General features: G+C 42.2%; 5 annotated features.

The window, feature by feature from the left end:
• Positions 901-1,459: an enhancer, noted in NCBI's record as "H3K27ac-H3K4me1 hESC enhancer chr14:72225004-72225562 (GRCh37/hg19 assembly coordinates)". NCBI's record gives its function as "activates a minimal SCP1, AML or CMV promoter by ChIP-STARR-seq in naive H9 embryonic stem cells {active_cell/tissue: H9 hESC(naive)}" and the evidence as "EXISTENCE:reporter gene assay evidence [ECO:0000049][PMID:30033119]".
• Positions 16,250-16,932: an enhancer, noted in NCBI's record as "H3K27ac hESC enhancer chr14:72240353-72241035 (GRCh37/hg19 assembly coordinates)". NCBI's record gives its function as "activates a minimal SCP1, AML or CMV promoter by ChIP-STARR-seq in primed H9 embryonic stem cells {active_cell/tissue: H9 hESC(primed)}" and the evidence as "EXISTENCE:reporter gene assay evidence [ECO:0000049][PMID:30033119]".
• Positions 16,250-17,762: a biological region, named in NCBI's record as "MED14-independent group 3 enhancer GRCh37_chr14:72240666-72241865".
• Positions 16,563-17,762: an enhancer, noted in NCBI's record as "MED14-independent group 3 enhancer chr14:72240666-72241865 (GRCh37/hg19 assembly coordinates)". NCBI's record gives its function as "activates an origin of replication core promoter dependent on BRD2, BRD4, P300/CBP and CDK7 cofactors, and independent of MED14, by STARR-seq in HCT116 cells {active_cell/tissue: HCT116}" and the evidence as "EXISTENCE:reporter gene assay evidence [ECO:0000049][PMID:35650434]".
• Positions 26,446-26,740: a silencer, noted in NCBI's record as "tiled region #15223; HepG2 Repressive non-DNase unmatched - State 24:Quies". NCBI's record gives its function as "represses a minimal TATA promoter and a strong SV40 promoter by Sharpr-MPRA in HepG2 cells {active_cell/tissue: HepG2}" and the evidence as "EXISTENCE:reporter gene assay evidence [ECO:0000049][PMID:27701403]".

A 27,052-nucleotide genomic window follows, 5' to 3' on the forward strand; every position in this document is an offset into this window, starting at 1 on the left:
CACTAACATGTATTATGTATACATCACTGAACTACCAGAAGAAAACAAGGGCATTGAAAATAGTGAAGGTAGTTAATTGGTTTTACAAATATTGTAAAAAATATTTTTAAGTGAAGAACTAAAAAACATCTCAACTTTGGGTGTTGATTTAAAGCAGAGGTGTTTATATAGAGGGCTAAATAGTAAGCATTTTGGTCTTCACAAGCTGGACTGAGCCTTCAGTCTTTCTGGCTATTTCAGGCATAAAGAAGAGGTCCCAGGATAATACCAGGGTCAGCCTATTCCAGACAGAAAACTTCAGGAAATGCTGAAAAGATCACAGTATCCTTAGCCCAGGATGCTGGGGGGGTTCCTGTTCACAACGGTGCTATTCTAAGGGACTTCTGCCAACTTAGAGACCGAATCTAAATTTCTCAACATCGTGTTTACTGCCTGCCACTAAAAGAACAAATTAGACATGCCTGCGGCACATGACATTTTATAATCTCTTATTGGTGTTGCATATTTTCTTTGTGAATATTTTAATGTTTTTATTATTTAATTGAACTTCCATATCTTTTAAAAGATACAGGCTATCTGACCAACCAAGTCGATGCTTTACATTGCAAATTTAGTATAGAATAATTTTTGGTTCTTTAATTTTTTTTTTAGGTTTCTTTCTGTGGTCCAACCTACCACCCTCATATTTCCAGCAGAAGGAACATGAAATGAAAAAGGAAAAAAGCCCTTACAATATCATACGAGTTTCTCTACCAGCACATCATGCTGGTGTCCTAAAGAAGCCAGACAGCAGAGTTAACGGGTACAAGTTTAAACGTTGTCATCATATTTTATTCTGTGTTCAAAACCACTTTCGTGATTTCCCTAATAACACATGCAAAGTCTCCTTTGAAGTTATGGAAGAGGGGCGGTGTGTGTGTTTTCTATTTTTCTTTTTTCTAAATGTACCGATAGGCTGGCCTGGGCTGGGATTGGATAGAGAAGTTGAGAGAAAAGGCAGAAACCACCTGTCTCTTGAAGTTTGCCTGCTGGTCCCCTAGCAACTGGTTTCTTGTTTGAGGCATATTTGAGCCATATAGGGAAGACTCAGAATGCTGTAAAGGGGCACAGAATTACTCTCCCACTGGATAATGAAGTTGTTTTTAATTACAATAATATAAACACTACATTTAAGCAGCAGTGAAGGAAAGCAGGAAGTTTGCAGAATGAGCTTTTCTGAGTTACCGTATCTGCTGTTGTGACAAGAGGAGCAGGTGTGTGCTAGGGGCCACCATTGACTTCTGGCTTGCAGGAGCCTGAGTCGCTCATTCAGCTTTGTCCGTGCCCACAGGGGCCAGGCAGGCTGCAGTCACAAGGGAGTTAAACAGGCGAGACACTGGAGAGCAGAGCTGGGCCTCGAGGGAGGCCGCTGTGTGAACTTGTAGGAGGCATTCGCTCCTGGAGGTGCAAAAGCCGACGATGTGCTTGCATGGCTCTGAGAGCAAGACCACAGGCATTTAGCACCTGGGTCCCTCACCTGCCTTGCCCCAGGCCCCTCTGGAGAGGACATGTCCCACCTAGAGTGGCATCTGCAGCTGAATGCTGCCATGTGAAACAGAGCCCGGTTACTGGACCACTTGGTAAAGAAACAACAGAAATCTAGATTTTTTGGGGTGGAGAGATGAACTGAAATCTCCCATTAAAAAAATATTTCAGGCCGGGGGCGGCAGCTCACACCTGTAATCCCAGCACTTCGGGAGGCCAAGGTGGGTGGATCGCCTGAGCTCAGGAGTTCGAGACCAGCCGAGCAACGTGGTGAAACGTCATCTCTACCAAAAGCACAAAAAACTAGCTGGGTGTGGTGGTGCACACCTGTCATCCCAGCTAATTGGGAGGCTGAGGTAGGATGACTGCTTGAGCTTGGGAGGCAGAGGTTGCAGTGAGCTGAGATCATGCTACTGCACTCCAGCCTTGGTGACAAAGTGAGACCCTATCTCAAAAAAAAAAAAAAAATATATATATATATATATATATATATATATTTCACTCAAACCTCATTCATTTGAGACACAAGGGCCAAAATTTGAACCACAAGTCTTTGCTTAAATCTTTTTTGTTGTTTGTTTTTTTGAGACAGGGTCTTGCTCCATCATCCAGGCTAGATAACAGTGGTGCAGTCAAGGCTTGCTTCAGCTTCAACCTCCCAGGCTCAAGCCTCCCTAGCTGGGATCATAGGTATGCACCACCATGCCTGGCTAGCTAAAAAAAAATTTCTTTTTGTAGGGATATTGTCTCCTTATGTTGCCCAGGCTGGTCTCCAACTCCTGGGCTCAAGTGATCCTCTTGCTTTGGCCTCCCAAAGTGTTGGGATTGCAGGTGTGAGCCACCGTGCCTGGCCAGCTCTTTACTTAAATCTTTTCCTAAATGGTCTGGGTAAAAACAAAAAACTTTTCCTATTCTAGTTCTAAAGCCATGAATCCCACCCCTTTCAGGCAGGTAGGTACACTTGGCGTGTTCAGGGTGACAGAGGCTTTCCAGTTCTGCAGTGCAGGCAGTGAACCCTGTCCCACCAGACACAGGGGGATCCAGCTCTTGAATGCCTGTCCCCCACTGGAACACAGATTCTTAGTAGAGAACTGGGTGAGGGGAGTGGCAAAAACTGGATGATCAGGGTATGCCATCAATATTTATATAAATGAAGAATCCAGTAAGGGAAAATATAGCAAAGTGAGGGAATAGAGCGTGTGTATATATTTTGGGGGTGTGCAGTGGTTTACCCATGGGCGTAGCCAAACCTGTGAATCCAGATGCTTTTGGATAGGTCATGGAAGGCTAACTCGTCCATTGAGAAAAAGTTTAAAAAGCGGATACATTACAAAGGTCATATTTTTAATGGCACCAGAGAGTTACAGAAGCTATAATACAAGGATAAATGGACTAAATTTTCAGGAAGGGATAGAACTGTCCAGAGATAAGTGGACAATGCCTACCTGTTATTTCCCCCTAGGGCATTCTCTGATTCTGGGCTGGGCTAAGGATCAGAGCTTGACTCCAGCAGAGACCACCTGCTTGGGTGGGTATGGGGTATACAGTAAAATCAGCAAAAGTCTGAGTGGTCCTGTTGGGTTGGGCTTCCCAAAGCAGGGATTTTCAGAGCCTCAAATACATGTCTAGGTTCCCCCATGAAACATTTTCTGAATTCTGAGGCTGTCTGGGGGATTAAAGAGTCAGGTAGCATGTTTTTTTTTTTTTTTTTTTTTTTTTTTTTTTTTTTTTGAGACAAAGTCTCGCTCTGTCTCCCGGGCTGGAGTGCAGTGGCGCAATCTCAGCTCACTGCAACCTCTGCCTCCTGGGCTCAAGTGATTCTTCTTCCTCAGCCTCCTGAATAGCTGGGATTACAGGCACATGCCACCATGCCTGTCTAATTTTTGTATTTTCAGTAGAGATGGGGGTTTCACCATGATGGCCAGGCTAGTCTCGAACTCTTGACCTCAGGTGATCCACCCACCTCGGCCTCCCAAAGGGCTGGGATTACAGGCATGAGCCATGGTGCCCGGTCATAAAGAGTCACATAGCAAGTTTTATTATTTTATTTTATTTTGTTTTGTTTTGAGACAGAGTCTTGCTCTGTTGCCCAGGCTAGAGTGCAGTGGCACAATCTCGGCTTACTGCAACCTCCACCTCCCGGGTTCAAGTGATTCTCCTGCCTTAGCCTCCTGAGTAGCTGGGATAACAGGCGCCCGCCACCATGCCCGGCTAATTTTTTGTATTTCTTAGTAGAGACGGGGTTTCACCATGTTGGCCAGGCTGGTCTTGAACTCCTGACCTCAAGTGACCCACCTGCCTCGGCCTCCCAAAGTGCTGGGATTACAGGTGTGAGCCACGGCACCTGGCCTTGAGTCACCACACCTGGACTGCACGTTTTAAAATATAGAGTGAAATATCCTATGGTCTGGAGGTGTCTAAGAAATGAAAATGACCAGGCGGAGTTGAAATGAAAACAAAAAGGCAACAGATGAAAACTACAGGATGCTTGGTATGTTGACACAGATTCTACCAGCCCTTTTACCTAGGAGCTAATTCTGGGAGCTGCTACAGTGTAAGAATCCAGGCTTGCCCCTAAGCCAGCTGCTGGAAGACAGAGAGATTATAATATTTAGGAGAGACTAGGGTGATACCATTGAAGGCTAGATAGGCCTCAAACAGATAGTCATGCTCCGTCTCAAGAAATGTGCCAAAATTTGAATCTGTGGAAGGCTAAAAACCTAAGCTTTAAAACCCCTGAGCTGGGTGTCGTGGCTCACACCTGTAATCCCAGCACTTTGGGAGGCTGAGGGCAAGGCAGGCGGATCACCAGAGATTGGGAGTTTGAGACCAGCCTGACCAACATGGAGAAACCCCGTCTCTACTAAAAATACAAAATTAGCTGGGCGTGGTGGCGCATGCCTGTAATCCCAGCTGCTCAGGAGGCTGAGGCAGGAGAATCACTTGAACCCAGGAGGTAGAAGTTGTGGTGAGCCAAGATCGTGCCATTGCACTCCAGCCTGGGCAACAAGAGCAAAACTCTGTCTCTAAATAAATAAATAATAAAATAAAATAAAACCCCTGAAAGGCAGAACAGAATCTTTTGTAGTCTTTTAGGGCTAAGGACACAAGCACTTGCCAGGTTCTCAATTCATAACCCAGGAAGATCACATCCTAGGAACAGGGGTAAATGAGGTAGGCTGAGTCTTACCAAAACTCTTACTAAATTGTATCAAAGCCCCAGTTTAGCTTTGTCTCTCATCAGACGTGCCTAACAGAGGAAAGGAGGAAGGTAGTACCATCTGGAGCCTTTAGGTCTTTAAACAAAATGGCTGGCATAAAATAAGAAATTTCTAAACATGTAAAGAACCAGATCATGTCATAGATAACTAAGTTAAAAAAACTAGGCAATAGAAATACTCACAGATGGGAGAGATATTGCAGTTAACAGATAAGAGCTTCTAAATAACTATGATTAATATATTCAAGAAAATAGAAAAAAGATGCACAAAATAGATGACAGAATAGATAATTTCACCAGATATTTGGAATGAACTCTATAAAAATAATAATTGAATGGATATTCTTTTTTTCCCAATTCATTTTTTTTTCCTTGGGTAGTCTCTCGAGTCAGAGTAGACTCAGAGACTCCCCAAATGGACCTTCTAAAAGTATAATATCTAAAAATAAGCATTCAGTAAATTTGTTTAATGACAGATTGTGCATGTAGTTTACTAAGTAACTAGAAGGCAGGTTGTTAGAAAATATTCAAAACAAATATAGAGAAAAAATGGAAAAGTAAACAATAACAGCGTAAGAGACGTGGGATAACTAGAGTCTCAGAGAGAGCAGGAAGGGGGAATGGATAGAAGCAATATTTAAGGAGATTATAACTGAAAGACATTAACCCACAGATTCAAAAGGCTTAGTGATCCCCAAATAAGAAAGCACAAACTCGTTGAGTAGTGCCCTTCTATGCTGTTTTTAGATCTAGACTTGGAGGAATAGAAACATATTTATTTAGGGGTATCAACCGCCTTTAGTTAGAAATTCTTGATAAATGTCAAGAGACTCTATTCTCACCTTTTTCTGAAGGCACTTTGTACAGTGAAATCTTCCTATTTTGCCTTGCCTTTCCCTTTATATGGAATGATTCCTTTCATCTCCCTGCTGAATCTCTTTTTATCCTTCAAGACCTATTGGCATGGGATGCTTATTTCTGCTGCTTCTGTTTGGGTAGAGGGGAGGCCACTCCTACTATATTCACTAATTGGGAATAGTATTGCAGAAACACTTCTGATTTTTCTCTCTTCCTCTTGGCTTCATCCCCTTATGGAAAAAGGCATGATTTCTTTCACTGGAGAGCTGGAGAAGTCTAACAACCCCTCCCACATTCGTGCATCTCTATCAGGTGGGGCCAACATACTCACACGTCTCCCATACGTGGTCTCCCCTTCCCTCCCGTTCTTGGGCTCTATCTGTGCAAGGCAGTCCACACTCCTGCCTGCCACTGGCTGGGTAACAGTCTGCCCTGCACAGCCAGTTTCCTCTTGGCCTTCATATATGTGTAGTTCCTTAGGTCTAGATGATGAGAGAAATGTGAGAAAGACTTCTCTTTTTTTGCCCCTTGGCCCAAGCCTTATCTTTGAATCCAGGTTCACATGCATACACTATTTTAATCTTCATTGTATTTCTTTCTTAGTTTCTTCCAAGGCGATAAGAGTGAGGTTTATGATCACTCTTAAAACCCCCATAACCGAGGTGGGCAGATCACTCGAGGTCAGAAGTTCAAGATCAGCCTGGCCAACATGGTGAAACCCCATCTCTACTAAAAATACAAAAATTTGCCGGGTGTGGTGGCACACACCTGTAGTCCTAGCTACTTGGGAGGCTGAGGCAGGAGAATCACTTGAACCCGGGAAGCAAAGGTTGCAGTGAGCTGAGATCAAGCCACTGCACTCCAGCTTGGCAGACAGAGTGAGACTCCATCTCAAAACAAACAAACAAACAACAACAACAACAACAACAACAAAACCCAATCAGACACATTTCAAAAGTTGTATCTTCTAAGGATAATGTGCTTATCTCTTTGTGGAGCCCTTTATGATAGCACCATATTGTGGGGTAATTATTTCATAATCTAGACATCTCACCCACTAGGCTCAGGCTCCTTGAGAGCAGCGACCATGTCTTATTTTTGTTGCCTCACATCACCCAACATAGCACCCAGCACATCCTAGGTATTCAAGATTTGTTTAAGCAAGGAATTCTAGAATTGTACTGAATATCACTATGTGAGAATCACTAATGTTTGCAAATTATTCTGTACTCTGTAACTGTTTTCAATATCAGGTTCATCTTTGTTAATTCAGAATAACCAGGAGTGGGCTGTTTAAAAAGTTTAACTGTTTTAAACAAGACAAGCAGCACAACTATCTTCTCTAAATACCAATATTTTAAAATATTTTTACCTTTTTCAATGTAAAATTTCAAACATACAGAAGTATATAATTTTATGATGTGTATATCTCTGCTCTTTGAAATAGAATATCTTGAGCATAATACAATCTTTCAAAGGACCATGGCTCAGGACTGGAATTCGGTTTCTATAGAACAGAAAACCCCCACATGGCTATTGAGATATAAGTTGCCTTGCACCTGCGTTAAGTGATTGTTGTGATTTTCAAATTCAGGATTTTCTCTGTTCTCCCTTTCTTTTATCTGATACTCATCACATCTGCCAGGGGCTTACCTCCAACAACCAGTTAGCTACTTCTAGTTTTGCATTGGCTAGGAAATCAGGTAGCTAGGACTGGCATAACTATGTGTTAAAAAAGAGTAAAAAAGATTCCGAGTGAGAAACTCAGAATGGCTGAGCTTTGGAGTGTAGATCTCCCACGGCCACACTGATTGTCTACTCTGTTGGGTGAGATCCGTGTCTGTCACCCCCACACCGAGATCCCTCACAGGTGCTGGGGGCTGGGGGACGTGCACAAGAGAAAGGGAAAATCCTGGCTCTGAAGGAGGTGCAATTTTGTAAAGAGGTAACAAGCTTGGGGGGCGGGGAGGAGAGACAGTGAAAAGACAGCTGTTAAAACTACTTATGGGAGACAAATCTGATTTGTTGTGCCGTATTTATAGATGAGCTCACACTTTGAAGCAACTCTGAGTTAATTTACTTTAAACCTCTTAAATACAGTATGACAGTATAGTTTAGCACCCTGAACTGAGCAGTCAGCCTTCCTAGATTGAGGCTTTCATGTGTAAGGCTGGATTCAAAATGAAACTAGAGTCCTCTGGGGAATCTAACACAAAAGGAATTTGGTTTATTTTTCAAAGCAACACAATTTTTAACGGCGCTTACTGGGGAAATAAATTATTACCTTGGAAATCACTTAGATTGTTGTGGCCAATATTACATATATACAGATGTTGACTCCACTCCCAAATGGGATCTTTATAGGCAGTTTCTGTCAACAGTGTTATACACAAAGCAGGAAAAGTAAGGGAATAATGTGTGAATCTTTATTTCTCTTTTGTATTTACATTGTAAAAGGTTTTGTTTTATATAAAATTGATGTAGTTTCCTTTAAACTTTTCTTTGTAATTTACACTTGGTAAGTGTAGCTAGGTGTGGTTTTACTGAATTGAGAGAAGTTATTCTGTTTGTCCTATGAAGGGTCACTTGCAAGTCTCTCTTAGCAAATATAAAGAAAGTTGGTCTCATTGGTCTAGAATTGAGAATAACAAGATTCTAGAGTGTTTTGGGGGGCCTAGAAAATGCTGCCTTTTCCCATGGTATGAAATGAATTGATGTACTAGTCGCTGTGATTTCCTCCCTCCCTCCTTCCCTCCTTCCCTCCCTCCTTCCTTCCCTCCCTCCTTCCCTCCCTCCTTCCTTCCCTCCCTCCTTCCTTCCCTCCTTCCTTCCTTCCCTCCCTCCCTCCCTCATTCCTTTCCTCCCTCCCTCCCTCCTTCCTTCCCTCCCTCCCTTCTTTCCTTCCTTTTCTTCCTTTTATTGTGATATAATTCACATACTATACAATTCACCCATTTAAAAAGTATATGATTCAATGGATTGTACTATACTTACAGATATGTGCAGCCATCATCACCAGAGTAAGCTCTAAAACATTTTCATCACTTCAAAACAAACCAAGATCCCAAATCCTTTCTCTATTATCTCCTTATCCCCCTACCCCTAAGCAACCACTAATCTATTTCCTCTATAGATTTGCCTATTCTGGATAGTTCATGTAAATGGAATTTTATAATATGTAATCATGCACAACTTAGATGGATGGTTCTGGTTGAGGGTCTCCCATGAAGTTGCAGTCAAGATGTTTTCTGGGGGGTACAGTTATCTGACGACTTACTTGGAGCTGGAGGGTTTACTTCCAAGATGGCTCACTCACATGACTTTTGGAAAAAGACCTCAGTTCCCCACCATGTGGACTGCTCTATAAGGCTACTTGAGTGTCCTCACCATATGGCAGGACATATTGTCCTGCCATAACTCTGCCCAAAGCAAGTGAATAAGAGGAAATGAATACATTTTATGACCTAGTTCAGAAGTCAGACATCATCACTTTCACCAGCATATTCTATTTCTTAGACATAAGTCACTACACCCATACTCAAGGGGAGAGGAATAGCCTCTACTCCTTGGAGGGAGGAGGACCAAAGAATATGTGGACCTTTTTAAAAACCACTACAGCAAGCTTGGGGAATAAAGATCAATTTTAAAGTGCCACTTCTTTATATCAGCAATGATTAACTAGAAAACAGAACAATAATAACACACTATTCACCATAGCATCAAAAAAAATGAATCTAAGAATTAACCAAGAATACCAAGTCTTCTATAAAAGATATAAAAAAGATCTGATCAGTGGAGAGAGATTCCATGTTCTAGGATGGGACAGCATCATATTATGAACATGTCATTATCTCCTCACTCCAACTATCGAAACATTTAATGGTCTGACAACGAAGATCCAATTTGAACTTTTTGAGGATTTTGTGTTAAGCTTTATGTTAAAATTTATATGAAAAAACTCAAAGTCTAGAAATAGCTAAGAAAATTTTAATCAGTATAAAGAGGGGCACTTGTCCTATCAAATATAAAGTACGTCACAGGGCTATAATCAAAACAAAAAAAAGAGTGTGATAATGGTATGAGAACAGTCAAATGGGCTGATGGAACAGAAGAAAAAGTTCAGAAAGAAAGACCCAAATATATAATTGAGAAATTACTATAAGATAACTGGGATGCCACAAATTAACGAGGACTCATTAGTTTGTCTGACAAATGGTGCTGAGAAAAATGACCCCTACATGGTGAAAAACACAATTAGTTGCTTACCTAACATGACATAAAAATATGGATTCAAAATGGATAAAAGAGCTAAATAGGCCAAGCGTGGTGGCTCATGCCTGTAATCCCAGCACTTTGGGAAAATGAAGGGGGCGGATCACCTGAGGTCAGGAGTTTGAGACCAGCCTGGCCAACATGGTGAAACCGTGTCTCTACTAAAAATACAAAAACTAGCTGGGTGTGGTGGCGGGTGCCTGTAATCCCAGCTATTCAGGGGGCTGAGGCAGGAGAATCACTTGAATCCAGGTGGCGGAGGTTGCAGTAAGCTGAGATTGCGCCATTGCACTCCAGCATGGGCAACAAGAGCAAAACTCCATCTCAAAAAAAAAAAAGCACTAAATATAAAATATAAAGAACTAAATATTAAAAATAAATAAAAAGAACTAAATATTAAAAAGTTTAATATGAACTAAATATAAAAGGTTAAACTATGTAGGTAATAGGGAAAATATAGATAATATTGTTTTGAACTAAGCATAAACCTTAAAACAAAAATTATATTTGTTTAAATCATAATTATTTCTTTTTAACAAAATAAAGCATGAACACCTTTTGATAGAATGAAAGAAGGTGTTTGCAATGTTGAAAACTGAAAAGCAGATTGAAATCTAGAACAATGGTTCTCAAACTTCAATAGGCATTTGAGGATTTTGTTATCATCCTGATCTGATTCAATGGGTCTGGAAGGGAGCCATGGATTCTACATTTCTAACAAGCTCCCAGCTGAGTAGCAAGAATTTAGAATATATAACAAACTTCCCAAATCATTAGGAAATGACAGAAACTCCAATAGAAAAATGGACAAAGGTCATGAGCTCATGAGTTATACACAGGAAAACTCAAAAGGCCACCAAACATATGAAAAGACGCTCAAGCTCATTGATTATCAGATACAGAAAAATTAAAACACAAGATAATTATTTTACAGATATCAGAGTGTCAAAGATTAAAAAGCTTGATAATTATAATTATTGGCATAGATTTGGGGAATACAGAAAACATTCATGAACTGCTTGTGGGAGAGTGGACTAGAATAGCCATTTTGCAGAGCAGTCCAGCACTGTTTGGCAAAAGTAAATATATTCATATCATATGTACAGCCATTCTAGACCTGGTTATATTTTCCAAAAAATTTCTCACCTGAATTCATAGGAGACATAATTATTTATAAAGATGTTTACTAGAGTATAATTTATGGTGCAAGGATTTAGAGGCTCTCCGGAGGTCCAAAGCTGAGAAAAAATGGATAGATGTCTGCCTTAGAATATGTCCCATGCTTTTGAATCAAAAGACTTAATGTTGTTAAGATAACAATACTCATCTAATTGACCTACAAATTCAACACAATCCCTATCAAAATCCCTTTTAATTACCTTCTCTGTAGAAATTGACAAGCTAATCCTAAAATTCATATGGTGATGCAAAGGGCCGAAAATAGCCAGTTGTGTTGGACATGGGACTTTTGGCATAGTGGAATGAGGAGCTTGTAAATCTAACAGCTAATATCTTAATGACGAAACACTGAATGTTTTTTTCCTAAAATGACGAAGAAAACAAGGATTTTTTCACTTCTGTTCAACATTGTCCTGAAGGTTGTATTCAGGGTAATTAGGCATGCAAAAGATGTAAATGGCATCCATACTGGAAATGAAGAAATAAACCATCTCTATTGGCAGATGACATGATCTTATATATAGAAAATCTTCAATAATCCACTTAAAAATTACTGTAACTAATAAGCAAGTTCTGCAAGGTTTCAGGATATAAGGTCAACATAAAAATAAATTGTATTTTTATGCACTTGCATTTGCCATTCCCCAAACAAAATTAAGAATACAATGCCATTTATCATAGCATCAAAAAGAATGAAATACTTCATTCTTTTGTGAGAAATAAATTTCACAAAAGGAGTATAAAGCTTATACTCTATAAACCACCAACCATTGTGGAAAGAAATTAAAAGACCCAAATAAATGGAAAGACATTCCATGTTCATGGATGAGCAGATTTAATATTATTAAAATGCCCATACTCTTTAAATTGATCTACAGATTCAATGCAACCCCTATTAAAATCCCAGCTAGTTATTTTGCAGAAATTGACAAATTGATTCTAAGATTTGTATAAAAAATCAAGAGACCCAAAATACCCAAAGAATCTTGAAAAAGAAGAATGAAGTTGGAAAGTCCCTGATTTTAAAACTTACTACAAAGCTATAGTAATCAGGACAATGAAGTACTGATCAAGATAGACATAGATGGCAAGAGAATATAATTGAGAGATAAACTGTCAAATTTATAGTCAATTTTGTTTCGACAAGAGTGCCAAGAAGTCAGCAGCCTTTTCAATAAAGATTAAAGTGGATATTCACATGTCCAAGAAGTCAGTAGCCTTTTCAATAAAGACTAAACTAGATATTCACATGTAAAATAATAAATTAGGACCCCTGCCTCATACCATATACAAAACTCCAAATGGAATAAAGATCTGAATGGAAGAGCTAAAACTGTAAAATTCATAGAAGAAAACATAGGCATAAATCCTTGTGTCCTTGGATTAGGCAATCATTTTTCAGATATGACACCCAAAACATAAGTAACAAAAGAAAAAACAAATATATTGAACCTCATCAAAATTCAACTTTTTTTTTTTTTTGAGACAGTGTTTCACTCCCTCACCCAGGCTGAAATGCAGTGGTGTGATCTTGGCTCACTGCAACCTCTGCCTCCCAGGTTCAAGAGATTCTCCTGTCTCGGCCTCCCAAGTAGCTGGAATTACAGGTGTGTGCCACCGTGCCTGGCTAATTTTTGTATTTTTAGTTATTGAAATAACTATTTTATTTTTGTATTTTGTATTTTTAGTACAGATGGGGTTTCACCATATTGGCCAGGTTGGTCTCAAACTCCTGACCTCAAATGATCTGCCCGCCTCAGCCTCCCAAAGTGTTGGGATTACAGGCATGAGCCACCACACCTAGCCTTCTCTATTCTTATTAATAGGTAAGTCCTTTATTCTTCTGTATGAGGATTCAACATTATTCTTGGGCAGGCCCCATGCAGTTTTATATATACTGATAACTTCATAGAAGAGTCTGGCTTCTCATCTTAACTTCTTCCCCTGACTTTAGGAAGCTCAGCCAGCTACACTTCTCTCTTGCTGACCCCAGTCCTGGAAGAAAACAAGTTATTTTTAGCTTCCCTCCCTTTCTGAATGCAGTTTGGAAGTTGCCCCTTTTCTTAAACCTCCTCCCGCCTGGAACTGGTTTCTCTCTTGGCTGCTTCTCGCCAAGCCTAGACTCTCATAAGTTTTCTTTCCCTTGAGCGCTGTATCTGAGGCCAGATCCACCTTTGGATTAATTCCAAGTACCTTCTGCTTAATAATTAGCCCTTACCATCTCTGACAGACAAGGGGAAGAATCTCACATTGGTCCAACCCTGTCCCCAGATGTCTGGCTAGAGTCACATCTCCTGCCCCAGCCCAGAAGGGCTACCTTGTGCTTTCCAACACTGTTTGTTGCCCACAAATACATTTCTTACCCATTAATAATTTGCAGACTCTCTCTCACCTCTCTTACTGTTTATATGGATTTGTTCTTACCTGCAACTAGACATACATTTCTAACACCCCAGAACCAGAGAGTTACTCATCACAGCAGGCTGAAAACCCCAGATCTGTTCTTGGAGCCACCGCACCCAGCCTCTGACTTTGCTTTGACCTTTTGGGGATGATTTACCTGGGTGACAGGAGGGAGTAGGTTGATATCAATCATTTAGATGCAAAAAACCAAACAAACCAACACAAAACCACTGCTAACCTGAGGCACTGGAGAACTCTAATGAAAATCTCTTTAAAGAGAATTATGAAAGGCAGTGATTATCTTGCTAAGTAAAATCCCTATTTACATTGTCTTCCACAGTAGAAAAAGTTTTCTCTGAATAGGCCAACATCCTTTACATTTCATTTGGATGAAAAAACATTAGAATATATAAGATAAATGAGTAAAAATGGCTCTTCTAATTAATTTATTTATTTGACACTGAGAATAATAGCTTCCAATACAAGTAATACTATGCGATGTCTTGAGCCTATGGAGTTAGACATTCGGTTATATGATTATCAGTGTTTATTTGCATTCCCCTTTGTGTGTTCAAATCTTAATTTTATAGATTATGTTACATTTAGAGATTTATATCATATTATTTTTAATGCAAATGTAAAGAAGCACAGTGTAATTAAGCCATGAGGGATTCTTTATGGACTGACAACAATGGATCCTGTGCTCCAGGATCACAAAGTCCTAAAGACAAATGGTGGGGCTGAGCAAGCTAAGCCCTGTTAAAGACATGAGCTCTCAGCAGGGGGGTGGTGGCTTATGCCTGTAATCCCAGCATTTTGGGAGGCTGAGGCAGGCAGATCACTTGAGGTCAGGAGTTTGAGACCAGCCTGGCCAACGTGGTGAAATGCTGTCTCTACTAAAAATACAAAAAAATTAGCCGGGCATGGTGGTGCATGCCTGTAATTCCAGCTACTCGGGAGGCTGAGGCAGGAGAATCGCTTGAACTCAGTGCTACTGTGGGGTCCTTGCTCCCAGAGCTCCCAAGATGGTGGCGGGCCACTTCCAAAATGGTGGTTGGCCACTTCCAAGATGGTGGCAAGCCTTGTGTTCTCTGACCTGGGGTTCTTGGCCTCACGGATTCCAAGGAATGGAATCTTGGGCCATGCGGTGAGTGTTATAGCTCTATTAGAAGCCGTGGGTCATGGAAGAGAACCATGGAACCCGGTAACTAGTGTTCAGCTCGATTAGGATGAACCTGGGCAGTTAGCCGTGCAGGAACAATGGCAAACCTTTAGCCCTATCGGGAGCGGCAATGGGCGCCTCGCTGGATCAGGAGCACAGCGGACACCCTGCCAGATCTGGAGGGATGGAAGTCAGAGGCGGGTCTGCGGCGGCGGCAAACAGCAGTGGTGGATGGCAAGCGAAAGCTCAGCTTGAGCCATAACAAACACGGACCAGAAGAGAGTGCAGTTGCAAGATTTAATAGAGTGAAAACAGAGCTCCCATACAAAGGGAGGGGACCCAAAGAGGGTAGCCGTTGCTGGCTCGAATGCCTGGGTTTATATCCCAATCATTGTCCCTCCTGCTGTGCTCTCATGCAATAGATGATTGGCTATTTCTTTACCTCCTGTTTTTGCCTAATTAGCTTTTTAGTGAGCTCTCTTTACTACCTGATTGGTAGGGTGTGAGCTAAGTTGCAAGCCCCGTGTTTAAAGGTGGATGTGGTCACCTTCCCAGCTAGGCTTAGGGATTCTTAGTCGGCCTAGAAAATCTAGCTAGTCCTGTCTCTCACCGGGAGGTGGAGGTTGTAGTGAGTCAAGATCGCACCACTGCAGTCTAGCCTGGGTGACAGAGTAAGGCTCCATCTCAAAAAAAAAGGACAAGAGCTCTCTTTCTACCTAAGGAAAATTTGGGGGCCATGTAGTAGCCTTGCAGCCAAATCAAACAACTTTGGATTTCTTCCTGTTCATGTCCTAAGCCTCCTAATTATTTCTCATCCCGGGAAGGAAAGGGAAATTAGATGTTCTTCTCAGGAGGAAGCTGGAATGTGATCTTCAGCCCAAGTTAGCTGTGAGAGGGGATTCTGCGGTGATTAGAAGAAGATAGGGAAGGGCAAGGCAGCCAGGCCAACAGCCCACCCTCAGCCTGGAGGCCACCTCAGGCCTGAGGCTCAGGGAGCTGATGACCGAAGAGAAGAGGTGGAGCGCTGGGTTCCTGCAAGATCTAGACGTGGCTTGGAAACAGCAGCATCTCCGGTGGAGGACAGAAAGACAGCATATGTGGGGCCAGCTTTGAACCCAGCAGCCAGGACCCCAGAGAGCACAATAAAGATGAGCTTTACTGGGTGCCTCAGAGATGGATGCAGGAAGTGAGGAGGCAGAGCAGATGCGGCTCCCTGGAGGAGGGGCTGGAGATTTGCGAGCCTGCCGGCAGCAGGGAGAAACATCCTAGTCACAATAAAAAGCAGGTGGAGAGGCCCTTGACAAAAGGGCAGTGGAGCTGTATTTTTGGATTTCCAGAAGCTCCTTTGACATGCAAGGGCAGTGGGGTGTGATTTTGATGTTGACTCGTATGTTAATTCCCAGGAACCCCTCTTTGTCCTGTCTTTTCTAAGAACATCGGCATCAGTCAGACGTTTGTTCTCAGGGGAGAGATTTTGGAATACAGTACAAACGGCAAAATAAAAACCCCACCTGTTTCTTGGATTTTAAATTTCCAAACAGACTTTTACATTTCCACCTGGGAGGAAAACTGGCTTCAATACCAAAGCCAAAGTCTGCGCCATACACAGCAGGCCTGGAAGGAACCTGGTGCTGTAACTGCCATGACTCCGGCCCTAAGTTTGTTCAGGATTCTGCAGGCAGAGGAGAGCTGGGGGAAATGACAGCCCAGGTGCTGGAGTGTGGCCCTGTGTTCTCCCTCATACCCCACTTCTCTGGGGGCTGAGTCTGGGGGACAGATCCTCTTTAAGTTCAGGAATCCAGGGGGAGAAGAGACATGTACTTCTGGTCCATCTGGTACTCTGTGAGCCTCATAGATGTGATGAGAAGGCAGGCAAAGGTGAGAAGGTGGCAGGGTAGGGAGGGCTTAATGCTGGCCAGCCCTGAGTCCCCTTGGCCCACAGAGGCCAGGGCAGGCAGCCAAACCTGCAGGATGTACTTGAGAAGGTACAGATGAGAAAGGAGAAAGGAAGAAACCAGACAGGCAGGCAGTTAGGGTGGGTCCTTGGCTGAGTTATTTCAAACAAAAGAACAGCCTGCAGGCACAGATAAGGGAAATTGCACAGGGGGGCTTGTCTAAGACATGCTCACAGCCGCACAGATAAGAAAGGCTACACAGGTGACTTGCCCAGACATGCCCTCAGTGGAAAATTCCATCCCCTGAGACATGTGCAGTAAGAGGAACAAAGCAATATGGAGTAACTCAAGCTAAAGGTCTGCATGAGCACTAGGAGGATGGGGTGGAGCTACCAGAAATGTGTGCCTTATGCAAATAAAATACCCAGCCCTCATCAATTTCTTATAAAGCCTTTGCATTCAACTGTAAAAACAGCAACCCTCTTCCAGGTCTCTTCTTCGCAGCAGAGAAATTTCTTCTTTTGCTTTTTAAACTTTGCTCCAACCTCACCCTTGGCGTCCATGCTCCTTAACTTTCTTGGTCATGAGACAAAGAACTCTGGATACTACCTCAGGCAATGACAGACTGCTACATTGTGGTGCATTGGCGAGACTGTAACACAGACATGAGCCTTGGTGTGGGAGAGAAAGGTGGATTCACAGCTAGCAATAGAAATGGGAATGGTCAGACACCTGAAGTTGGTCTTCTGTGCAGGATTCTGAGTGTGGAGGACAAAAGATGAAAACCCTTTGGGATTGATGGTTTTCCACATGCTTCTCCTGGAATCCGGAGTTCCAGATGTTTATTTGTTCACCTGTTTGTTATTGGCTTGGTTATTATTTCAATCATTCATTTCTATTGATTTCAGCACCTACTATATTTCTAGAGTTTCAATCTTCTATTTGCTACCAAGCTAGCTCTTTCTAGCTTTAAGAGATGCTCCCTTGTCTCATCCTGGTGTGAAAGGAAAATAAATCTTGGCCCCCCCAAATCACTAAGATAAAGGGAAAATTCAAGCTGGGAACCTGCCTCCCATTCTATTCAAAGTCACCCCTCTGCTCACTGAGATAAATGCATATCTGGTTGCCTTCTTTGGAGAGGCTAATCAGAAACTCAAAAGAATGCAACTGTTTGTCTCTCACCTATCTATGACCTGGAAGCCCCCTTCCTGCTTCGAGTTGTCCTGCCTTTCCAGACTGAACCAATGTTCATCTTTCATATCTTGATTGATGTTTCATGTCTCCCTAAAATGTATAAAACCAAACTGTGCTCTGACCACCTTGGGCACACATCGTCAGGACCTCCTGAGGCTGTGTCACAGGCGTGCATCCTCAACCTTGGCAAAATAAACTTTCTAAATTAACTGAGACCTGTCTCGGATATTTGGGGTTCACACTGGAAAGTGGGGATCAGGTCTGAGTGGTCCTACCCATATGCTTCCCTGTTTTTGGATAACCTGGTCATACTCACTTTCAAATGGAAAGGTGAAGATTTGAGAAATTTCAAACCATGGAAGAAGAACCTTTGTGTGGACATTTTGAAGAGAAGGGAAACGTATGTTATCTCTCTTTAGAGGTTTCTACAGCTGTGAAGTTACTTATGAAAAGATGTGAAGGCACATCTAATTTTCTGAAGTCAAAGACATTTAAATTCTTACCTTTCAGACAAATGGACATTTAACTCCTTTATGGATCTCAAGGTCACAAGGGCTCAGAGAAAACTTCCAACTTCCTTTTAACTACGAGTTCCTTGACTTTTCTTAAGCTTCTTGGTCCTGAGCCTTTTGAGCAAATAAGGCAATGGCTGTGTCCCAAGCATATCTAAGAAATAAAGACTTCACACATGGGGACTCAGGAAGAGCCATAGAAATGTAAGCAAAGTAGCAGTTCCCTGAGGCTGTTGAGAGCTGCTTTCTTCAAGCTCCTTTTATTCTTAGGCTTCTCCAGGGGAAGGATGGGCAGTAAGCAGATTTATAGACCATACCTTAGGTGGATAATCAACCTGACATTGTCAGAAAAATCTATTAACATAGCAGTACACACTGCAGACATTTCTACCTCCCACTTGTAGAATACAATACAAGGTTATTTTCTACACAAAGAAGAGTATATCATTTTCAATATTTCTTTTCTTTTTTCTTTTTTTTTTTTTTTTTGAGACAGAGTCTCGCTGTGTTGTCCAGGTTGGAGTGCGGTGGCTCCATCTCAGCTCACTGCAAACTCCGCCTCCTGGGTTAAAGTGATTCTTCTACCTCAGTCTCCTGAGTAGCTGGGATTACTAGCGTGTGCCACCATGCCCAGCTAATATTTATATTTTTAGTAGAGATAGGGTTTCACCATGTTGGCCAGGCTGGTCTCGAACTCCTGACCTCAAATGATCCGCCCTCCTCGGCCTCCCAAAGTGCTGGGATTACAGGTGTGACCCACCGTGCCTGGCCTCATATTTATTTTCTTACTGTAAAGAAAAAGAGAAGTGACTGAGATATTTTGCCTGTGAAGGTGCATGGATGTCTGGGCTAGTCACTGTAGTGGTTGGAGCAACAGTAATGAAGCCAAGGGTTTAGTCTGTCCTTAAACCTGTTAGCTTCAGTGTCTGGCCACAAATAATCCTCCTAATGTGACTTGCAAATGCCAAGCATTGGTCCTGAGAACTGGTGGAGAAGTACAGATGGCTCAGTGTGTATCTATCACCCCCAGTGGAGAAGTAATACTGAGCACATGCTGATAGCTCATTCTCGGCATGGACAAATGGCTTCCTTTCTGGTTGTGTTGAAAGTCGAAGGTTTTTCTTATTATAAAAAGATGCTCTTTAAATTAATGTTTGCTTTTGCTCTGATGTGAGAAGAGGAAAAAAAAGTGTGAATTGCAAAGACCCTTTCCAGCTGAGATGAAACAAGAAAGATAGGCGACAAGCTGAGAGGGCATCTGTGGTTTCTGTTTGGCCACAGATCCTGGGGTAGCAGAAAGACACACTCATTCCATTACAGCGGTGATGGCGCAGATTCAGAAAGGAAATGCAGACCTCCAAGGTCATGGACTTTCTCTGAGAAGAAAAAAGAGCTAATGAAGGAAGCCACAAAGAGATGGCAAGGGAACCAAGGCAGGAATGAGTCTGTCGATAGCAATTTCCATTGGCCTTTGTTATGCGCAAGACAAAGAGGCGACATCTAAGCCTGAGTCCTTCAAGGACAATCATAAACCAGCAGAGCTTTCCCAAGCTTCTGCAGTAGGTTCACAGATTAACTGGGTCAGTGTCTTATTTGCAACTCAGCTGGTGAATGATTGTGCTGCCCTTCAGACATTGTTTGACAGTTTGTTCTCTGTGCTTTGAGGAATCCATGAAGACAATTGGTAAGTTGAAGAGTGCTAATCAGAGAATAGTTAGCGTCAGCTGAGAGCGGATCTCTTGGGAAGTCAGGCAGAGCCTGAGCCTCAGCCTGAGCAGGTCCATACATTTGATTTTGGTTTGTGTGTTCAGAGGTGAAGAGGCCCAAAGTACTGACTCACACTAGTCAAACTGACAAGACACAAATGCAAAAGCCTCAGTAACAATTCACTAATTTGGAGCAAGAAACATAACAGTCAACATACTATATCAGCTAATTAGCACGTTGGCTCTCTGGAGGGATAGAAAACTGAAAATGCCTATGAAGCAAGGTAGGTAAAGAAATGAATTGAGCAGGTGTGAGGTGAAAGGGAGTTGTTGGGAGTGGGCTGAACAGGGGACTCTATTCCCCTTCTAAAATATGCAGCCAATATAATCTCCACCTAATTCTTGCTACTCAGGGTTTGATGTGGCCAGACCTTCTGATTTTTCAGAAGTTGGAGATTCAGATTTATAGGAGTCATTTCCTGATTTATAAATATTAGCAACTAATTTATAAAAGTTTTAAAAATCATTGTGTAAGACAAACCTGCCAGAACATTTCTCATTTGCAACCATGAATTACAAACAAAAGGCTGCTTTGGGAGCCAATTTCAGGACAAGGTGGGGTAGTTGGTTGACTTCAGTGGTTACTGTCATCAAACCCACAGCCTGATGCATCTGCTTCCAATACTGAAGACACATCAGACAGGAAGGGCAGAAGCCGCCTCTTCAGCAGTCGCATTTGTCTCCAACCTCCTAGCTTTCATTAAAACCACCAATCCCTCTGCTAGCACAGGTTCTTTGTTTACATTGTGGAGTTTGCTAACTAAGCCTCCACCTTTCTTTTTTTTTTTTGAGACGGAGTCTCGCTCTGTCACCCAGGTTGGAGTGCAGTGGCACAATCTCGGCTCACTGCAAGCTCCACCTCCCGGGTTCACGCCATTCTCCTGCCTCAGCCTCCCAAGTAGCTGGGACTACAGGCACCCGCCACCATGCCCGGCTAATTTTTTGTATTTTTAGTAGAGGCGGGGTTTCACTGTGTTAGCCAGGATGGTCTCGATCTCCTGACCTCATGATCCGCCTGCCTCTGCCTCCTAAAGTGCTGGGATTACAGGCGTGAGCCACCGCGCCCGGCCAAGCCTCCACCTTTCTATACATCTTCTGGGACTGCATTCTCACTCCCGAATTAAGTTTTACAAATCCTTTGGTTTTTCCTAAGGATCCTCCTAAAAACCCTGCATTGTGTCCACACAGAAACACAATCTTCTCCATTAAGGATTGATTTTTCTTGTTTAATTTCCCAAAGGTAACAATGACAATATTATAATATATTCAAGAAATGTTTATTGAGCAGCCACATGGAACTATTTTTAACGTTGGATGTATTAGAAAACAAGCCAGAACTCAAGGAACTTCTTTTTTTTGTTGTTTTTTTTTAGACAAGGTCTGGCTCTATCACCCAGTCTGGAGTGCAGTGGCGTGATCTTGGCTCACTGCAACCTCTGCCTCCTGGGCTCAAGTGATCCTCCCACCTCAGCCTCCTGAGTAGCTGGGACTACAGGCACACACCACCACACCCAGCTAATTTTTATGTTTTCTTTTGTATAGAAATGGGGTTTCACCATGTTGCCCAGGCTGGTCTCGAACTCGTGAGATCAAGCTATCTGCCTGCCTCAGCCTCCCAAAGTACTGGGATTACAGGCATGAGCCACTGTGCTCGGCTGGAGCTTACTTTGTAATCATTGCTAACATTTATCAAGCTCTTCCAATGTGCCAGGGTCTGTGTGAAACATTTTACGTAATTATTTAATATTCAGGCCAACTCTACAAAGTCAATATTATAATGATCTTTGTTTTATGGTTAAGAAAACTGTGGTTATTCAAGATGAAGTGACCCCACCTCTGCTCTCCCAAGAGGCACCATGGTTCCCTATCTGTCAACCTCAGTATCTAACTAGGTAGTGATGACACAGCTCCTTCCCACAGTGCTGCCGTAGGAGCAGCCTTACTGGATGGTAAGCGACTTTTTTCTGATGGAAATTCCACATATGTGTTGAAGATCTTTCAAATTTATAACTTATTAATAATTATTGAGACGCCATTTATTGAGTGCTTACTTTGTGCTAGCTTCCATGCTAAGTACTTTATATACTCTATCTAATGAGATCAAAGCTATCCTCAAAGCTATCATGTGAAAGAGATATTACTACCCCTTTTTAGAAGAAACTGGAGCTCAGAGAAGTCAAACTTGTCCAAGGTTACCCAAAGGGTCATTGCACATCCCTGCGGGGGAGGGACCTTGCGGTTCATGGTGTTAGGCAGTACATGGTCTATTCAGTCGGTCACACAGTTAAAACATGGTGGCTGTGAGAACTGCCCCAGGGCAAAATCAATGAGATTGGAATACAACTGAAGGGACTGATGGAGGGGAAGAAAACTGCCAAGGAAAGATTTCAGAGAAACCCCCTAAGAAGTGGGAGATGCCATCAGCATGTGGGAATAACCTCTCTGACATCATAATTTTGCCCATGGTCAATACTACCGGCTGGAAGGGCTGCCTCAGCTAATAACCAGCCACAAATACAAACCGCTGGTTGCTTCACCTGCAAGGTCATTAGAGTCTTCCTGAACTGTTTGAATTGTTCACCTTCTTTGATCTGACTGACTTGAGAATAGAATGGACTTTCCTGATTGGTATTTTGACATCGTGTGAACAAGGTGAAATAAATAATTGGTTTTCAGATTCAGAAAGTCTAGGTCAAGATAGGGCTCTTTTCTTGAACAAGATGGGGAAAGAAGAGTCAGAAAGTTATGCACATGAGGCTTTCCCTGTTTATGGTGTGTCCTATTGTCCTAGCTGGGTTTGGGGAAGGAAGCATTTTCTTAAGGTTTAAAAATAAACAAGTAAGTAGGATGTTATCAAAAGCCATAAACTAAAAGATTCCCTGGAGAACAGCCAAACAGGATTCTTATCAAGGTGGGGCAGCCTTCCTGAGCAACTTGTCAAATCAGCAGCATGTCAGAACGGATGGCAAATGGAACAGGCAGCCTGGGAATTCTGAAATGTCAGATCTGGAAGGTGCCTTAGGGACCAGCTAGGCCACTGCCTTTGTTTTATAAATGAAGAGAAAACTTAAGGACCATAGCGATAGAGAGACTTAATCCCAGGTCACACAGCTCATGATAAAAATTAGGGTGATGGTTTCCGGAAGCTTCTGCTCTAAGCCAGAACAACATTTCTGCTATCCTTCAGGGTTATTTGGTACTAATTGGGGTTTTGAAATAAATAGTTGATTTATTAATGTTACAAATTCAGAAGCTTAGTTTTTCTCTAAACTTTTATGTTCTATATATGTCTTATATTTTTATTTATCAAATAATCCTATTTAACCCAGTCAATACAATTCTTTTAAATCTTTTAAACATTATTTATAAAGGTAATATATCCCTTTTTATTTTAAAAGCTTTTAAAATGTCTAAACAAAGTAGCAGTTTTCCCAAGTATTTAAACACAGCTAACAAATCTAATAAATCTAACAGGATTATCAGTGACTGTCAATCTCAAATGTTTCAGTAAAGTTGTAAAATTCTCTCTCTCTCTCTCTTTCTTTTTTCCCAAGACAGGGTCTCACTCTGTTACCCAGGCTGGAGTGCTGTGGCGTGATTACAACTCACTACAGCCTCTACCTTATTGCCTTATAAGCTTCTGAGGCAACACCCTGTTGTCCCCAGACAACTCGTCCACAGGTCACATACAACCAAACATGATGTCATCGTTCTTCCATGGAAAATCTTTTTAAAACAATGAGATTTCTGATATATATATATATTTTTTTTCCTTTTTTGAGAAAGGGTCTTGCTCTGACACCCAGGCTGGAGTACAGTGACATGATCATAGCTTACTGCAGCCTCAAACTCCTGGGCTCAAGAGATCTCCTCGCCTCAGCATCCCAAACAGCTAGAACTACAGGTGTGTGCTTCCGTGCCTGGCTAATTTTAAAATATTTTTGTAGAGACAGGGTCTCACTGTGTTTCCCAGGCTGATCTCAAACTTCTGGGCTGGAGTGATCCTCTTGCCTCTGCCTCCCTAAGCACTGGGATTACAGGTGTGAACTACTGCGCCTGGCCTGATATCTGATGTATCTTAACACTTCATATGAATATGAAGTTTGGAAGGCATACTTGGATGGCCCAAAATAAAATTTATGGCTGGGCATGGTGGCTCATGCCTGTAATCCCAGCACTTTGGGAGGCTGGGGGCAGGGGCGGATCACCTGAGGTCGGGAGTTTGTGACCAGCCTGGCCAACATGGTGAAACCTGGTGAAACCCTGTCTCTACTAAAAATACAAAAATACAAAAGTTAGCTAGGTGTGGTGGCGGGCACCTGTAACCCTAGCTACTCAGGAGGCTGAGGCAGGAGAGTCACTTGAACTCAGGAGGTGGAGGTTGCAGTGAAGATAGAGATCATGCCATTGCACTCCAGCCTGGGCATCAGAGCGAGACTCTGTCTCAAAAAAATAATAATAATGATACAAATTAAAAATTAAAAAATGAAAGTTATGTGATGTGCCTCCATTTGACTCTGGAAGTTCAATTTTACTTTTGAGGTTCTTAAAGAGCTTTGCAGTCACCCTTCAGAGAAGCAGAAACTCAAATATAACAGGAAGCCCAAGTGGCTTCTGGCCAGGAGTAACCTACCATACATGTACTAGGAAGCTGTGAACAAAGAAAATAAGCAACGGGGCCTGGTGCGGTGGCTCATGCCTGTAATGCCAGCACTCTGGGAGGCTGAGGCGGGCAGATCACCTGAGGTCAGGAGTTCGAGACTAGCCTGGCCAACATGGTGAAACCCCCTCTTTACTAAAAATACAAAAATCAGCTGGGCATGGTGGCAGGCGCCTGTAGTCCCAGCTACTTGGGAGGCTGAGGTAGGAGAATCGCTTGAACCTGGGAGGTGGAGGTTGCAGTGAGCTGAGATAGCACCATTGTACACACGCTGGGTGACAAGAGCAAAACTCTGTCTCAAAACAAAACAAAATACAAAACAAAACAAAACAAAAAAAAGCAAGAAAATAAACAATGGTTTCAAATATTAATCCCAAATCAAAACTCACTTTGAATTGCAGGTGTTGATTTGTAACTGAGCTGCTTCTCTCATGAGTGTACCCCTGGGTGTGAGGCAGCTGGGGCTGAATGATTGAACCAGGCTTACTGAGTCTCCTGTCCAATATGGGGTTAGCCTGAATTTACTTTATATATATATGATGTGTGTATATATGTATATATATATGGTTATATCTTTCTAATTAAAAGAGATTAAACAGAAGATCCTTTAGGTACTTTTTCATGCAAATATTTAGCTGAACATGACAAAATTTCTGAGGGTGTATAGTAGATCTTACAAACTTTTACTACTCCGGTAAAATCCAACCTGTAGAACCTGTAGACAGGGTTGTTTTAATCCATCAGTATGGGCCTGTAAAGTGTTTTTTTTTTAAAAAAGAAGAACCAACATTTAGGAGTGGATGGAAGACATAAATATACGGATTCTTGGTCATAGAAATACTTGACTACAGAAGCCAATGTTCCCACATAGTAACAATGATATAGGAGCTAGAAAGAAATTATTTGGGCAGGTAGTGAGGGTCAAAGAGCCCTCAGCAGAATTTCCCTTTTTAACAAAAAAGAAGCCCCCCAAATAATTTCCTTTCTGATAAAGAGCAGCCTGAAAGATGGAGCTGCAGACATAGATAAGCTGGAAGCTTGCATGGGTGAATGTTGGCAGCTGTGCCAATAGAAAAAGGCCACCTGGGGGCGAGGTATGTTCAACATGGAGGCTCCATCTTCCCTTTTCTTTGTCACCACGTGTACAGTAAAGAAACAGGCAACATGGCATTGGCCAGGCAGAGAGCCCATCTGCATAATAAAACATTAGGGTGTGGGGTGGCCAGATTTTCATGTCCTATGCAAATGGCACACCTAGCCCTAACCAGTTTTTTGTGCCCTATGCAAATGGCACAGCTGGTCCAACCAATCTTTCATGCCCTATGTAAATCAGACACCACCTCCTCGAGCTCATCTATAAAACCCCTTGCATTCCACTGCGGAAGCAGCAACCCACTTCCCCAGGACCTCTTTCTGCTGCAGAGAGTTCTCTTTCTTTCACCTATTAAACCTCTGCTCTTAACCTCACTCCTTGTGTGTCCACGTCCTTGATTTCCTCAGCATGAGGCTGCAAACCTTGGGTATCACCCCAGACAAATGACATCACTTCAACAAGGCTGGTGCTGGGTGGCAGCTGCCCCACTGGACGCACTCTCCAGTCCTTCCTAGTTCTTATTATTCTCTATTTTCTACCTGACATTGTAAATTGCTGCTTATCATCACACTCACCTTGTTATTTTTCTTATAGAAGCATTAAGAGAAAGTAGCATAATCCTATCAAAAATGGAAAAAGACCAAAGGGGCTGTGTATTTCAGGAAGTAAGAGAGAGCATATTTCTATGTGAAAATAAAGGCCATTCCTATGTTTTTAACACACAGAGCTTTCTTAAACCCAGCCAGCTTCGTGCACTGACTTGGCCTCTGGGGTTCCTGTTGGCATGCGAATATGCCATCCCTGGGTAAACTATGCTTGGGGTTAAAACCTTTCCATTGGCTTCCTGACAATAATGATTGTCAGCATGCTATAGCCTATGGCAATACTCGTGGCATAGAAGGTGAGTGAACTTTGCAAACTTCAGCAGCCACCCTTTTTAGTTTCTATTTCTTAAACTCCCTAAAGGACTAGAGTCAGCCTTCCTTTGTCACGAAACTTTCAAGCCAGTTGCACTAACTCCACTTCACACAAACATAATTGTCTTCTCTGCTAGCTTTTCCTTTTCCAATCTTCCTCGAAATAATTGGGTTATTGCACTAGAAGTGTTCCTGGTGAAGAGAGACTTAAAAGCTAATAGAGATATGTAATACAGAAGACTCAGCATTCCCCTAGGAAATTACTGTGGAATATACTTGAAAGGGAAGATATTAAAACTAAGATAATGTTGAATGAGATTGAAAAGGAAACACTGTGATTGGGGAAGGGGAAAAGAAAGTAACTGGAGGGATTTCTTGATTTTAAAATTCATTCTAT

The sequence above is a fragment of the Homo sapiens genome, chromosome 14, assembly GCF_000001405.40.
Source record: "Homo sapiens chromosome 14, GRCh38.p14 Primary Assembly".
Taxonomy (NCBI): domain Eukaryota; kingdom Metazoa; phylum Chordata; class Mammalia; order Primates; family Hominidae; genus Homo; species Homo sapiens.